The sequence below is a fragment of the Homo sapiens genome, chromosome 17 (assembly GCF_000001405.40).
Source record: "Homo sapiens chromosome 17, GRCh38.p14 Primary Assembly".
Lineage (NCBI taxonomy): Eukaryota > Metazoa > Chordata > Mammalia > Primates > Hominidae > Homo > Homo sapiens.
In genome coordinates, this window is record NC_000017.11 from 45,739,107 (window position 1) to 45,754,328 (window position 15,222).

The following is a 15,222-nucleotide window of genomic DNA, read 5'->3' on the forward strand; positions in this document are numbered from 1 at the left end:
CCATTTATACATTGTATGGATGTACCAGTTTATTTATCCATTTACCAGCTGAAGGACATTTGGGGAGTTCCCTGTTTTTGGTGATTATAAATGAAGTCTGTATAAACATTCACAAACAGGTCTTTGTATGTAAATGGTTTTCGTTTCCCTTGGGAAACGAAATGCTACTCAAATACCTATGACTGGCATTGCTAATTTGTATGGTGAGTACATGTTCAACTTTATAAGAAACTGCCAAATTGTTTTCAAAACTGTGCGTCATTTTGCATTACCAAGCAATGTGTGCGAGTTCCAGCTTTGTTCAGCTGGTACTTGATATTGTACCTCAGACTTTCAGAGCCCTTCTTTCTATCTCTGCTGTCTCCCCTTCCTGAGTGCCAGAGAAGAGTGGGTATAGTCACAATAGCAATTTTCCAGAAGCAGAAGGGCTGGCTCTCATAATTCCCCTGCACACTACGAACTTCAGAACTGCAGTTTTTGGGAAGGTGTGACAAGTGTGTTGAGCAGAATCAGGACAAGGGCCAAGGCAGAAGGAGTAGTGGGGGCACAGGGTTGGCAGTGAAGGGTCCAAGTGGCAGCAGTCCACAGTGGCAGGACCTGGAACACTTCGTCTGCTCAGGGCTTGTTGGTAGTGGGAAAGGATCACTTGGGGCCCAGGAGGGGGTCCTGCTGCCTCAGCACCCTCCCTCTGCCCTCCTAAGGTTTCCAGCCATTTCTAACAGAGGAAACTGCAATCTCTTGAGATTCCTGCAGGCCCCAGGGAGGGGGAGAGTTGCCTGAGAACCAGAGGCCTGGCTTGGGGCCCAGTTATGTGACACCTGAATCTTGGGGAGAGTGGCTGTGGGACCAGGCCCCTGGGGCCTCCTGGGACAGTTGGGAACAGGGAGGGGCAGCTCAGGTTTCCTCACTGCTTGGTGTGTGACCTGGGCTCCACCCAGGCAGCAGAATAATGCCAGGCCTTAGCCCCTGCGGTGTAACACCTTTCACCAAGAAATTGCTGTCCCGCTCCTGTTCCACAGGGACTGCTCTGGCCTGGACTTTGGGTCCTGTGGCCTAGAAGTAAAGGGACCAGATCTTAGTCAGGCCTCAGGACAGAAGCCGAGCCAGTCAAATCTGGAGGAGGTGCGTGAGGTGTGTGTGTGTATCTGCGGGGTGGGGAGAGGTGTCATGTGGGGACCAGGAGCTGCCCAATATTCAGTTTCAGTTGATTAGCTGTGTGGCCTTGGACAAGTAATTTAGCCTTTTTAGGCCTGGGTTTGCCTGTTTTTGACTTAAAGGTTTGGACTAGATGGGTGATTTCTCAATTGCATTGAATGTCAGCATTACCTGGGACTTGTTTTTATAAACTACAGATCCCTGGGCTCCACCACAAACCTATTGAATCAGCATCTGTGGGCCTGGGGTCCTGGCTTCTGGCTGTGTAACGGGCTCCAGCCGGTTTTTATATGGCCAGTGTGTCACTGATATCTCCAGACCCACTTACCTAAAAGTTCACCAAGTCCAGCAGCCTAGGGCAACCTCTGGTGGAAGACAGAAAGGCAGGTCCAGGAAGGAGGGAGGAGCCAGAGAAGGGGAGCCAATCAGGGGTCAGAAAGATGGGGGGAGGAACCTGAGAAAGGGAGCCAATCAGTGGCCAGGAAGGTGAGAGGAGGAGCCACTCAGTGGCCTGAAAGGAGGAAGAGGAGCCAGAGAGGGAGAACCAATCAGGAAAAGAGGATGCGGCAGGCTGGGATTCTTCTTGCAAGGGAACCTGAAGCTTTAGTCTGGGCAGGCAGCGAGCTGGACTGGTATCAGAGGAAAAGAAGTCTCTACTTTGGCTGCTTCTGTTTGAGTGTGTCTCCCAGCACCATAAGGCAGGTAGAGAGGGCATCACCTTTGTGGTTCAGGAGAAGGGTTAGCACATCCCTTGTCTGTTTGGAGGCTCAAAGTGGGTCTAGGAGAAACTATATCTGCCTAGAGGGAAAACATATCCTGCAAACCCTAAATAGCCATGGGGAATAAATAGCACTTGGGCCCCGGCCATTCCACCCCCTCTGTGTCTGACTCAGCTTGGAGGACAAAAGAGTCCCCATCTGCTGCTTACTGGCTTTGCGTGTGTGAGCAAGTCACTCAACCTTTCTGACTCTGTTGCCTCCTCTGTAAAATGGGAATAATAATTATACCTGCCCTACCCCCACAAGGCATTGCTCTGGGCATCACCTAAGACAAGGGAGGCGAGGGTGCTCCATCAACTGCAGCATGCTGTGCAATCCATTGGGGCTAGGCACTACCAGAACCCCAGGGAGGAAGGGATGGATGGACAACCCTCCCTTGTCCCACAGTTGGAGCATCTGTGCTTAAAAGAAAACCACTCGAGTGATTATCTTTTATAAATTGTTAGATGGTCACAGATAATCTTCCCTCTGACAACCCACCTCAGTTTCAGAGGCAACAAGTACTATATGAATTTGGTGTGATCCTTTCACACTTAAAAATTTTTTTTCACATATATGCGTGGGCTCATGGGAAATATATATTGTGTGTCAGCACGTGTGTGTGTATGTGTGGCTTGTTTTACACAGAGGGTGGCGCAGTTACATATCACACAGCAAAATGCCTTTTTTAAACTCAAGGTTGTATGTTTGAGATCTAATTAGGTCATTTCTTTTATCTGCCATGTACTGTTCTACCTTGAGTCTCTCTCACATGGCATCTGTTTTGCCTGATGTTAAAATTGTTATGGCGCTAAATCATGTCTTTTCTTACCCCTGGCACAGCCAGATGGGCTGCCTTTGGTTGCAAGCCCAGCAGAGTCAGAAAGAAACTAAGGCTGTCAAGGAAACCTAAGGGTAGGTCTTCAACTCTGGGCCCGGAAGGAGCATCACCTCCACCTGGCCTTGTCTGGTTCATTTACAGCCTGCAGGAAGGAGAGGCGGGGAGACGGGGAGATGGGAGAAGGAGGGAGAGAGAGAGAGAGAGAGAATGTGAATATGAGAACGCTGCCCTGCTCCAAGCTCACCTCGCACCTCTGTCTGGGGAAAGTGGAATGGGAAGAAGCAGGTGGCATCCCCATCATCCCAAGGTGCCCTGCTGCCAACAAGACCTTGGGTGTCCATCCTTCTAGTGCAGTAGCACCACCACCGCCACCCCCCTTCAGGTGAAGGTTGCTAACTTTGAAATCAGGATGGGCTACATAATTTGCAGAGCCCAGTGCACATAAAAATGCAGGGCACTTCTTCAAGAAATATTAAGAATGCATTAGGCCAAAGGCAGACTCCTTCTAAGCATGTGGCTCTGCCTGACTGCACAGGTGGCATTCCCATGAAGCTGGTCCTGCCTGAAACTATCCTCTAAGGGAGTCCTGTTAAGGTGTGGGAGAAAGTGCGCAAAGCTCTGCAAAGGGAAATAGCTGTCATTTTGGAAGCCATCAGGATCTTTTAGTGCAGTCAAGCTGAACCATGGAGGTCATGATGACTAACAGTTCCAGACAGGTTGAAAAGCTCTGATTTGTCCCCTCTAGGGTGGGAACTAAGGACTGGAGAGGCTGCAGAGCCAGCAGATAACTCAGAAGGCCAGGGTACAAATCCTCCCTCTGTCCCTGAGGAGCTGAATGACCATGAGTTTGTTGCTTAGCTTCTCTGTGCCTCAGTTTCCTTATTAAGATAAGGTGCCCTCTTCATAGGATTGCTTGGAAGATTAACCCTAAAACTATGGAGAAGCTGAGGACATTTCCTGGCATATAATGTTCGATAATCTGGGCTGATGTTAGATATCCTTTCTGTGAGCTTTGGTTTCTTTCCTAGGATAATATAATGGGGAAAGGTAGAAGGTAAAGATGGATCTAGAGTCAGGAGTTCTGGGTTCTCTGCTACTAACCACCTGCTTACCAAGGCAGGTCACTGTCCCCTTAAGAGTCTCACTTCTAAAATTTAAGGGAGGGGGTGAGGTATGACTTTCCTTCCAGCTTTATAATTCTGTTTCCAAGGAATTCCACCTGTTCCTCTCATTGGTTTATCCCAGTGTACCCAGTGTATTAGTCTGCTTTCATGCTGCTGATAAAGAAATACCCGAGACCGGGCAATTTACAAAAGAAAGAGGTTTAATTGGACTTACAGTTCTATGTGGCTGGGGAAGCCTCACAATCATTGTGGAAGGCAAGGAGGAGCAAGTCACATCTTACGTGGATGGTGGCAGACAAACAGAGTGAGCTTATGCAGGCAAACTCCCATGTTTTAAAACCATCAGATCTCATGAGAGTCATTCACTATCATGAGAACAGCACAGGAAAGACCCGCCCCCATAATTCAATCACCTCCCACCGGGTTCCTCCCATGACACGTGGGAATTGTGGGAGTTACAATTCAAGATGAGATTTGGGTGGGGACACAGCCAAACCATATCACCCGACATTTATTTTCTCTGAGGTTTAAGAAATTTCTCCGCTTATCTGACTGCAAATCTTTCTCATTAGTTAAAGTCCACTTCTTTTCCTGCCCTTTGTGTGAAAACAACTGGTTGGTGACCCATTTTACAGACTCAGAAACTGAGGCACATTGAGAACCATCTGCTCTCCAGGTGGAACAACCCCAGTCCCTTTAATATGCCCTTGCATTGGCCCTTCACTGCACTGTGACCTCTGCCCACTGCACATCCCAGGAATGTCCACCACTCCTGCATTTAGAGACCCACACAGGTCACTCCTGCCAGCCAGGCACAGGGCTCGGCCCCTCAGATCTGTCTAATATTCTCAGTGCCTGTAGGGAAGCAGATCTTGTTACATATCTTGTTTTCCAGCTAGAGAAGCGGGCTCCTGGAGCCCAGACTGAGGGTGGAGTGAGGTTCCTGTAGGTAACTTGTGAGACCCCCTAATGCTGTGAGGCAGAGCCCCAGACCCTGCGACCCTGTGGGGGTCAGCCTTTCCTGGAGAAAAGCTTTCTCCCAGCACTTACCAAGCCTCTCTCCCTGCAGCTGGCATGAGGGATGTTGCTCCTCTGCCAAACCCACACTCTGGGGTGAACACAGCTCTGGGCATGCCAGCTGCTGCCCTGGCCCCTTTACTGCCACTCAGGAAGACACACGTGAGTGCCATTCAGTGCCAGTGTCCTTGTCAGGGGGCAAGCCTCAAACCTGTCCCCTTCCTACCAGGCCCCTGATCAGCTCCAGCACTAGCACAATGCAGAATCAATATCTATTTGGGGGGATTATTGAATGTCCATCTCCTCCACTAAAATAACCTCTTTGGGTGGTGTGTTGGGGCGGGGGCATGACTTGTTCACGGAAATATGCCCAGAGTCTAACACACTTCCTGGCACAAGGAGGTGCTCAGTACACATTCAATGTGTGAGCACATGGATCTGCTGTGATTTATTTATTTTTTAAACTTTATTTATTTATTTGTATTTTGAGACAGGGTCTCACTCTGCCACCCAGGCAGAAGTGCAGTGGCACAATCATGGCTCACTGCAGCCTCAACCTCCTGGGCTCAAGAGATCCTCCCACCTCAGCCTCCCAAGGTAGCTGAGACCACAGGTATGTGCCACCACGCCCAGCTAATTTTTGACTTTTTGTAGAGACGGAGCCTAGGCTGGTCTTGAACTCTTGGGCTCAAGTGCTTCTTCTGCCTTGGCTTCCCAAAGTGTTGGGATTACAGGTGTGAGCCACCATGCCTGGCCCCACTGTGATTTATTGAAAGTCAACCTCTGGCCCAGGCATGGTGGCTCATGACTGTAATCCTAGCACTTTGGGAGGCCGAGGTGGGTGGATAACCTGAGGTCAGGAGTTTGAAACCAGCCTGGCCAACATGGTGAAACCCTGTCACCACAAAAAATACAAAAATTAGCTGGGTGTGGTGGTGCACACCTGGAATCTAAGCTACTAGGGAGGCTGAAGCTGGAGAATCACTTGAGCCCGGGAGGCGGAGGTTGCAGTGAGCTGAGATTGCATCATTGCACTCCAGCCTGGGCAACAAAGTGAGACTCTCTCAAAAAAAAAAAGAGGAAGAAGAAGAAGAAAGTCAGCATCTGGCAGATACTGGCCCTTTACTTTATTAGCAAATTCCTGGAGGCCCATCTTTCACGGGATTACTACACAGGGGTGCTGATTTAGAAAAGTGCTATTTTATGTGTTATGCTCTGAGGGTTCATTCATGCAGGCAGTGTGTAATGAGCACTCGCTACATGCCAGGCCCTGAGGACAGAGCAGTAAAGGAGCCGATGTCCTTGCCTGCATGGAGGTCCCATCCAAGTGAGGAGACAGTTAAAATGCAAACACAGCTGCACGATATTGTCAGGTGATGCTTTGTGCTGAGAAGGATGAAGCGGTAGGGGGGATGGAGAGAGTGGGGTGGGTGGGGTGCTATTTCAGATTGAAGGGTCAGCGAGGTCCTGCAGAAGAGCTTCAATTTAAATGGAAGCCACCACTGAGAACGAATAGGGGGGATTTGGGGCATCCCAGGTGAGGAGTGGGATTCAGAAAGAAGAATTCCTTGACATCCCAGGCTCCTTGGTGAGCCAGTGGGGACACATTCTGCTTGTCATCAAAGTGAATTACAAACTCATCCAGCTCAGAGCCTCTGCCAGAGCCATCTGGGCTGCAGTGGCCTCTTTCAAAGAAAAGAGTTCGCCAACAAGAAAGCGGCACGGCATCCTGATGAGGACTGGGGCTTTAGAGTTCTGGGCAGAAACGTGTTGAAATCCCAGCTCAGGCATGATTGAGGTTCATGTCTTAATCCCTGAGAGCTTTGGTTTCTTTATATGTAGTCGGGAATGATAACAGTGCTTCTCCCAGAGGGTTGTTGTAAGTCTTCAAAGAAACAGCCTGTGTAAAGTGCTGAGCACAGATAAACAGTGGCCTTTACTGCCATTGTCATTCTCTTAGCTCCCAGTGGGGTTCTTTGCTTCTCTTTCATTCATTCCACAATAACTGAGCACCTACTCATTGTCAGGCTCTAGATGCTAGGGTACCCAGAGGAGGAACACCTAAGCTATCCAAATGTGAGCCAGAGAGTGCACCCATCCAAGAGGCAGGGCCCTGGGCATGCATTCCTGCCATTCCAGCTGTGTGAACTTGGCCATGTGGTTTCATCGCCCTGGGCCTCAGCTTTCCCCACTGCAAATAGAGGGCTCAGCTTGCCAATCACTGGGTGATTCTCCTGCTGAGCTCCTGGGCTGAGGCTGGGGCACAACTGTGGAGGGAGCATCTGTAGCCCCAGGTGACCTGAGCCTCAGAGAAAGCTAGCCTGCCTGGCCCGGAGGCTCTGCTGGGAGTGGGGTGGGAAGAAGCCCATGTGCTCGGAAATGGGCCAGGGTCAGTGCTGGGGCCTGTCGCCCCCAAGGACCCTCCCACATCAACCAGAGCTCCTCATGGGGAGGCAGAGGGTACAGCCGCTGAACGTGCCTTCCCAGGAGAAGCTTGAAGTGTACTCAGGATCTTGGCAGGCATCGGGGTTCTGAGGGGTCGTAAGAGGGGCCGCTAGGGACAGGGCTCCAGAGAGGCCTGATGAAGGTGGAGACAGAGGAAGAGGATATCTAGGAGAAGGGGTTTGTCCTATTTCCTCCCAAGTGCCACTTGCACTTCTAGTGCTGGGAGTCATTCATTATACAGATGATTATACAGTCATTCATTATACAGATGGCTGGGGCCACCACACTTCTTCTTTCCTTGCCCTTCTCCTCCTTTCCTACCCCTCACCCTGGGAGTGCCTTGGACCCTGGGATGACCCATTCTAATTTCTTCTCCTTCCACTTACCTGTGCTGGCCGGGTACGGTGGCTCACACCTGTAATCCCAGCACTTTGGGAGGCTGAGGTGGGCAGATCACCTGAGATCAGGAGTTCAAGACCAGCCTGGCCAACATGGCAAAACCCCGTCACTACTAAAAATACAAAAATTAGCCTGGTGTGGTGGCAGGTACCTGTAATCTCAGCTATTTGTGAGGCTGAGGCAGGAGAACTGCTTAAACCTGGGAGGTGGAGGTTGCACTGAGCCAAGATTGTGCCACTGCACTCCAGCCTGGGTGACAGAGTGAGACTCCGTCTCCAAAAAAATCCAAAACCGAAACAACAACAACCAAAAAAAAAAAAAAAAAAAAAAAAACTTACCTATGCTGTGTACCTGCCTCTCTGTGCTATGGGAAACTAAGCCCTAAATAATCTAAATAATTCATTTTATTCAAAAAGCTTTTTTTTTTTTCCTTAGAGACAGGGTCTTAGTCACCCAGGCTGGAGTGAAGTGGCATGATCATAGGTCATTGCAGCCTCCAACTCCTAAGCTCAACCAATCCTCCTGCCTCGGCCTCCCAAGTAGCTGAAACTACAGGCAAGTGTTGCCATGCCCAGCTAATTTTTAAAAATTTTTTGTAGGAACTGTTGACCAGGCTGGTCTCAAACTTTTGGCCTCAACCACTCCTCCCACCTTGGTTTTCCAAAGTGCTGGGATTATAGGCATGAGCCACCACACCTGGCCTCAAAAAGCATTTAATGAGTTCTGTTTAAGGGACTCTTTGGGTGTGATATAGTAAACAAAACAAAGAATCCATATCCTTGTGGAGCTTGCATTTCAGAAAGTGAGTGGACAATAGCAGCTTAACGCAGCACTTCTCCAACCTAGAGGTGCATATGGGATCACTTGGGCATCTTGTTAAAATGCACATTCTCATTCAGGAGATCAGGGATGGGCCTGAGATTCCAACAAATGATGCCTAATGTTGCTAGGCCATAGTTTGAGTGGCAAGGGGTTTTATGTGTTATCCCTCCTGAGATAGCAATGACATGTTCGAAGGAATGGCTCTCTAATATGGAACCCTAGGGAGGTGTTGGTGGAGGTGGCTGGGTATTGAGGACACTGGGGACTCTGGACTGGTCTCCTGGGTGGCTGCCTGCCTTTCTGTGCAGAAGGCTGGCTCAGCTTTCCAGCCCTGGCTTCTTAGCTCCCCACTGTTCCTCCTCAGCCAGGCTGTGGGTGGGAACATCTGGAAGGGATCCCCCGGAACTGGGGGAATTTCCAGGCACATGAGGCTCTGTCAACCCAGCCAGGAACATCCGCCCCTGCCATCTGCTCCAGACGTCATTGCAGAGTCTGTGTGAGAGGAACCCGACAGTTTCCAGCTCCTCCAAGGAGCGTCTGTCTGTGTCTCTGGGTCCTGCCCTGGGCATGTGAGGGGCCTGCCTCTGCTACTGCTGGGGGAGTCTGTTGGGGGCCTAAGTTCCCAAGTGCAAGTCCTGCGTTTTATCTGCTGGGAGATGAGGTGTCTCCAAATTCCAAAGATGCCCTGGGGGTCTTCCCTAGGACGATGAAGGAGGGAGAAGCTGCCCTGGTTGTTGAGAAGCCTCAGCCCAGAATTTTCTCACCCTCATGAGGCAAATTTGTCCAACACACGCTGTGCTCTGCCCTGTGCAACATCTCAGTAATAAATGCCCAGTTTTGTGCACTGATGGCCTGTGCACCGGAGGCTTTACAGCTTGACCTCACTTGATCTGCATGGAAACTGTGAAACTGCTCTTACTCTCACCTCCATACCGATAAGGATGAAGCAGCTCAGAAAAGTCAGGTTACCTATAGGAAGTAGCAGAGCCAGGATTTGAACCCAAAGTCACTGGATACCAAAGCCCAGTGTTAACTCTTCAGTTACATTGGCTCCTTACATATCCTCTAAGAGCAGGTGCTAGCTAAGAGCAGGACTGGATGGGACTCATCCAGCTGAAAGTCTTGCTTCTTCAAACTCCAAGACTTCTCCTGGAGCTTCTCCTCCAGCCCTGTGGGAAGCTCCCGGTCCACGGTTTGGGGTGGTTGTGCCCAGCCCTGTTCATCACATGCAGCTGCATAAGTCTGGGCAGCCTCTCCCTGTTAATGAGAGCGACGAATGACTCTCATCAAGTCTGGGAGTTACTCAGCACCAGAGACAGGTCTCTGGATGTGACTTCCTTCTTAAGAGCAAATGCAAACAGTGGAATGCCTAATCTCAAAGCAAGAGGCCTGGGTGCTCGCTTGGGAACTCCCAGGGGACTCCTGAGAGCAGCTGGCCCAGTCATGGGACGGTGGGGTGGGACAGCCAGGGCTTGGGGTCTGCTCTCTAAGGGAGCCGAGGCTGCAGCAGCTGTCCTCTCCATCCCCTAGCTCCACCGGGATAATTGACGGGGAGAGTATCACCTGATGTTAAAGCCCAGTGTTTATTCCTCTGTTACGTTTCGTTCTCTCTGCCACCATCTCTCAATCCAGCCTCTTAGCATGGGTGCCCCTAGCCCAGGAGCCCTATGCTGAGCTGGCAGGTGGGTTAACGAGTCTTAATGTATAGAACTTGTGCCAACCACAGTGTCGTAGACCCCGCAGGCCTCTAAAGGCCTGTCTGCCTCCCTACCCCTATCATGGGTCAGGCCGGAACTGCAGGACTCAGCAGGCACCATGGTGGCTTGGTCTGTGCCCGTCCTACCCTCTTTGTCTGCTGTGCCCTCAGCTTTAAACCTGAGCCGGGCAGTTGTGACAAGGGAAGAGGGCTCCTTAACCACGATTTGCCAAGAGATGAAGGGCCCCTGAGGAAAGGCTTTTATTTCTGTATTTCAGTTTCACAGCTTGGGGAGATGGGAGATAGCTCATGTTCCCCTGAGGCTGCAAAAGTTCTATGACAGCCAGTCAGTGAGGCTGTTCCCGGTAATGGGAGGAGAGACATTGTCATTGAAGGGGCTGTGCCATCTCGCCTCTGGGGGAGGATGAGGCAGCAGCCCCGCTAGGACACGGGGCAGGGGACGGAATCTCAGCATGTCCGAAAGCAGGTCCAGGCAGTAGACTCGCTGTGTGCCCGGACCAGTGAGGCACTTCTCTGGGCCTCAGATCCCAGTGGGAGGAAGGAGGGAATAATGTCAGAAGTACAGAGAGTTGGTGAGAGAAGAGAGGCTGGGGAGATATCTGCAGGATGGAAGGGAGAAGGACAGGGAACTGGGAAGCAGGTAGCAGGCAAGGACTGAACAGGCCATGGTGTGCTGTCCCAGAGGCTGAAGGACCTCTCTCCATTGGCCCCATACTGCCTGCTGCTCCTGCCTCCTGGCACAGATGCCCCTGCTCTGAGAGACTGTGCAGAGAGAGCAGGTGGGTAAACAAGTCCTTATGTGTAGAATTTGTGCCAGCCACAGTGCCATAGACCCCACAGGCCTCCAGAGGCCTGCCTGCCTCCCTGCCCCACCCTACAGTGGGGGCCAATCTGCTTACATCTGTAGGATCCGCCTACCTCAATCCTGTTTCCAGATGGAGGGTATTTCTGGGGGTTGGTAGATTCTGTATCCAGTCACCTGTTATCTTCTTAGTTCTTTGAAACCCAACCTTCACCTTGGTCCCAGTTCCAGTCTTGGGTTTGGATCCCAGCTCTACAGCCGTCTACGTCTACACCTACCTTCTGCCGTGAGCCCCAAGTCCCTCTTTTTTTGAAATGATCATAGTAGTAGTGCCTCTCTCTTAGGGATCTTTGAGGATTAAATGAGATAACTGGAGCTCCCAGCAAAATACCCAGACATAGGGGTTCCATGATGGCTAGATCACTTCTCCCTCACCCCTCTCAATTAGCCTCTTTGGGTTGCGCTTGTTTCCAGAGGCCTGGGCCAGACAGTTAATAGTTAGGGTGTGTGGAGTGACTGCCCACTGCTGCCTTCAGCAGTAAAGGCGAGGGGAGGAACAAGAGCTGTCATTTATTGGACACTTTCAGAGGGCCAGACCATTGGCATGCAAGCATCATCATCCTCACACCAACCCTGTAAGGAGGATTTTATGAGCCCCTTTTTAGAGATGAGCAGACAGAAGCCCAGGCTTCTTGAATACCCTGCCTGGATCCCATAGCCAGTGAGTGGTGGAGACTGAATTCAGATCCAGCCCCCATTCCCAAGCCGGCTGGGCCCTTGCCACTGTCCCACTCAGTAAGACACAGTGACACTCAGGGGCTGGGTGGCCAAAGGCCACCGGTACCAGGTGAAGAGCACCTATTCTGGAGGCAAAGTCCTCAAATTATCAAAGCTAGGGCAGCAAAGCATGCTCAGATGAACACAGAAACCCAGAGGGGGACAAGGCAAATTATTCCAGGGACCCAAGACCTGCAGGGACGGAAGACTGGTGGGTGGAGACCCAGGTACAGCAGCACCCACAGGACACGGTGCTCCCTGTAGTGCAGGGAAACGCTGGAGAAGCCGGGCCAGCGTGCCCGGGAATGCGGAGGGAGAGGGCCTGTGCTCCTCCTTCTGAGAAACACATGGTTTCCCCAATCTAACAGCGGCCAAAAGGAAAAACTATGTACTCTACAAAATCCACAGTATACACACGACCCGCCAACATTTCAGCATCATCTCTCCGAGAGATCTCTCCCAGAATCCCGCGAAAGAGCCAGGCAACACGCACACTTGCCCAAGGTCAAAGACACTATTCCAGGTATGAATTTTATGGGTAACCAGATGACACTTGAAGCGGCTCAGAAGTTGGCGTGAGAAAAGTCCCCAGTTGTTATTACTTAGTGCGGCCTGGGAGGAAGAAAGGATTCTTTGTAGAGCAATGAAAAGGACCCAGATAGAGGCAAGCCCCTGCCCTCCTGAGCAGAAATCGTCTTTTCCATCAACAGTTTGTGCTCTGCACCGCCCAGCCTCATTGTTCTGTGGCATTCCGCCGGGGGCAAGAACACATTGGGATGCCTCGCCTTCTCAGCACACCGCTGCCTGGATTTCTGTGCAAGGACTTGAATGTAGATTTATCCTAGTCGTCATTATTTAGAAATATTTTGACAAAGTAGTTTATTTAAAGGTACTATGAGTCCCCTCCCTGTTTTTTGCTGTTTATCTTTTCTTTTAAATTTTCTCCCAGAAACAGTGTAATCCTCTAACACAGTTTGCATTGTAAGGCCAGGACAACAACACTGAAATGCAGCGGTGGGGGCCAGGTAGACACATAGGGCACATATCCCCAAGAGAGGCATAAATCCAGGTGGCCGCCAGCACCGAGGGCTCCAAGGCCTGCCATGGCCACAGCCCCTGGGGTATGCTCCTCTCCATCCTCCACCTCCATCTGGGCCAGCACCTGGGCTCTGGTGGTGAGGTGCTAGGACCTCTTTCCACTCCAGAGGGCCAGGGACCAGGATACTCAATAAGGATGTGTTGAGGAGCTGGGGGTATCTGGTGCAGAAGACCAATGAGTCCAGTCGAGGAGCGCTGATTCAGGAAACAAAACACCCAAAATGTCAAAGCCAGGACAGCAAGGCGTAAAAGAGACCGTCTCGACCTTGAAGGGTTTACATTTCCAGCTAAGTAGGTGAGACAAGCATTCTGACATGTTACTGAGGCTGCGGCCTCCATGCAGAAGGCAGTGACAGTGACAGGAAGGTTGTCAGGTTGACTAACATGGGAGAGGGGGTAAAACACACAGCTGCTGCCCTCAGGTGAGTGGCAGCTGGCGGGGGGTGGCATGATCCCAGCATGGCTGCCTTCCATTCTCTCCTTTTCAGTGTCACTTGTCACTCCTCCCGTTGAGGGGTGGAATCTGTGCCTCCCCTCTGCTTGAATCAGGGCTTCTCCCTAGTGATTTGCGCAACCTATAAAATGTGGCGGAAGTGATGTTCAGGATTTCTAAGGCAACGTCCTAAGAACCTTGCAGCTTCTGCCTGGAACTCTAGAGACTCTTGGCACCCAGAGACCTCCATGCAGTGAGGAAGCCCAAGGTGGCCACGAGGAGAGACTGTAGGGGGAAGAGGGTGGAGACCTGTCTGGCCCCCCATTCCTGTTCCCAGCCATTTGAGCCATCCGAGCTTCAGCCATAAACATCCAGGGGCAGAGAGGAGCCATTCCCTCTGTGCCCTGTCCAGGTTCCTGATCCACAGAATCGTGAGACATGATAAAAGCAAAGTATTGTTTTAAGGCACTGAGATTGGGGTTATGTGTGCCATACGTACATCCACAGATAACCAGAACTGGGTGAGGGGACATATGCCAGGGCCAGGGACTCTGTTGACCCAACCCTTTCTCCTTGAGACCACACCTGCCCTCTCTGGCCCCAGACTCCTCCACCATGGCCTCCCTAAGTGCTGACACTCCCATCCCTGGGACCAATCCCAATGCCTGGGCACTTCCATCCCTGGGACCAATCCCAATGCCTGGGCACTTCCCCTTTGAACCCCAATTTGAGAGCAGATTTGCTGCTGAGGTTGGGGGGGAACTAGGGGAACCCCGGGACGGGACAAAGATTCTGGGTAACCACCTCTGGGGCAGGTGTGGGGAGACTGGCCGGGGCAAGGAAGTGGCTGCACAGGGGAAGGAGTGAGCCGTGTGCGCATGGATGGGGGAAGGAGTGAGCCGTGTGCGCATGGATGGGGGAAGGAGTGAGCCGTGTGCGCATGGATGGGGGAGGGAGTGAGCCGTGTGCGCATGGATGGGGGAGGGAGTGAGCCGTGTGCGCATGGATGGGGGAAGGAGTGAGCCGTGTGTGCTCGTGGCTGTGTGCCTTCCTCCATGGAAGAGCTCCCTCGTGCCTGTCTTCCAGAACTCAGGTCCAGCGTTTCCAGCCACCTGCTGGACTCTCCTCAGAACCTCCCACAGGCCCCCCAAATCCAGCACATCTCAAACCAGAACCTGCTCTAAACCCACCCCCAAGGCAATTCCCTGTCATTCCCTATTTCTGCCAAGGGTGCTGAAGTCACCAGGGCCCGTCCAGGTGTGGGCAGCCAACCCTCTAGTGGAGCTGGAGCAGCAATACCTTGCCCACATGGCAGGTGGAGATAGGGGGACCTGTGGGTAGGGACTGAGGTGGGAAGAGTTGTGGCGAAGGAGGTGGGCAGAGCCTGGCCAAGCTCATAGGCAGCCCTAGGATTCCTCCCGGAGAGGTAAGGGGCTTTGGGCTGTGTCCTGGGGGCTGGAGATACCCACAGGAGGCTAACAATAGCTCATCCAGCCTCAGCATCCTCTCTGCCTCTTTGCCACCCCCTTTTGCTCCTGGAGCAGCCATAGGGAAACCCTGCAGCTTCCAGCTCTGCAGGGCCCTCATTCCCCTCCTTCCCCTTCCACTCCACCCATCGCCCGCCCCCACCTCCCCTAAGCCCAGCCTCCTACCACCCCCACACCCATTTGACCCTTTCTCTTCCCCCCTTCCCCTCAAGGCTGCCGACCCGCTGCCCACTGTGGGAGCCAGCTGCCGCCTGTGGCTGGGGACACTGGGAAGGGGGCTGGTGCCACTGGGGAACTACACTTTTAATTTGATTTGCATTAACCTAGATTTTAAAACTGATAATCAA

The 15,222-nt window shown here is 51.8% G+C and overlaps 1 protein-coding gene across 2 annotated transcripts in view, besides 3 other annotated features; it reads left to right on the forward strand.

The window, feature by feature from the left end:
* The window catches only part of LINC02210-CRHR1 (LINC02210-CRHR1 readthrough), a 215,483-nt gene that overhangs the window by 118,761 nt on the left and 81,500 nt on the right, over positions 1-15,222 (forward strand). The gene's annotated exons all lie outside the window — the stretch shown is intronic.
* Positions 6,404-7,070: an enhancer, noted in NCBI's record as "OCT4-NANOG-H3K4me1 hESC enhancer chr17:43822876-43823542 (GRCh37/hg19 assembly coordinates)". NCBI's record gives its function as "activates a minimal SCP1, AML or CMV promoter by ChIP-STARR-seq in naive H9 embryonic stem cells {active_cell/tissue: H9 hESC(naive)}" and the evidence as "EXISTENCE:reporter gene assay evidence [ECO:0000049][PMID:30033119]".
* Positions 7,071-7,736: an enhancer, noted in NCBI's record as "OCT4-NANOG-H3K4me1 hESC enhancer chr17:43823543-43824208 (GRCh37/hg19 assembly coordinates)". NCBI's record gives its function as "activates a minimal SCP1, AML or CMV promoter by ChIP-STARR-seq in primed H9 embryonic stem cells {active_cell/tissue: H9 hESC(primed)}" and the evidence as "EXISTENCE:reporter gene assay evidence [ECO:0000049][PMID:30033119]".
* Positions 12,527-13,438: an enhancer, noted in NCBI's record as "H3K4me1 hESC enhancer chr17:43828999-43829910 (GRCh37/hg19 assembly coordinates)". NCBI's record gives its function as "activates a minimal SCP1, AML or CMV promoter by ChIP-STARR-seq in primed H9 embryonic stem cells {active_cell/tissue: H9 hESC(primed)}" and the evidence as "EXISTENCE:reporter gene assay evidence [ECO:0000049][PMID:30033119]".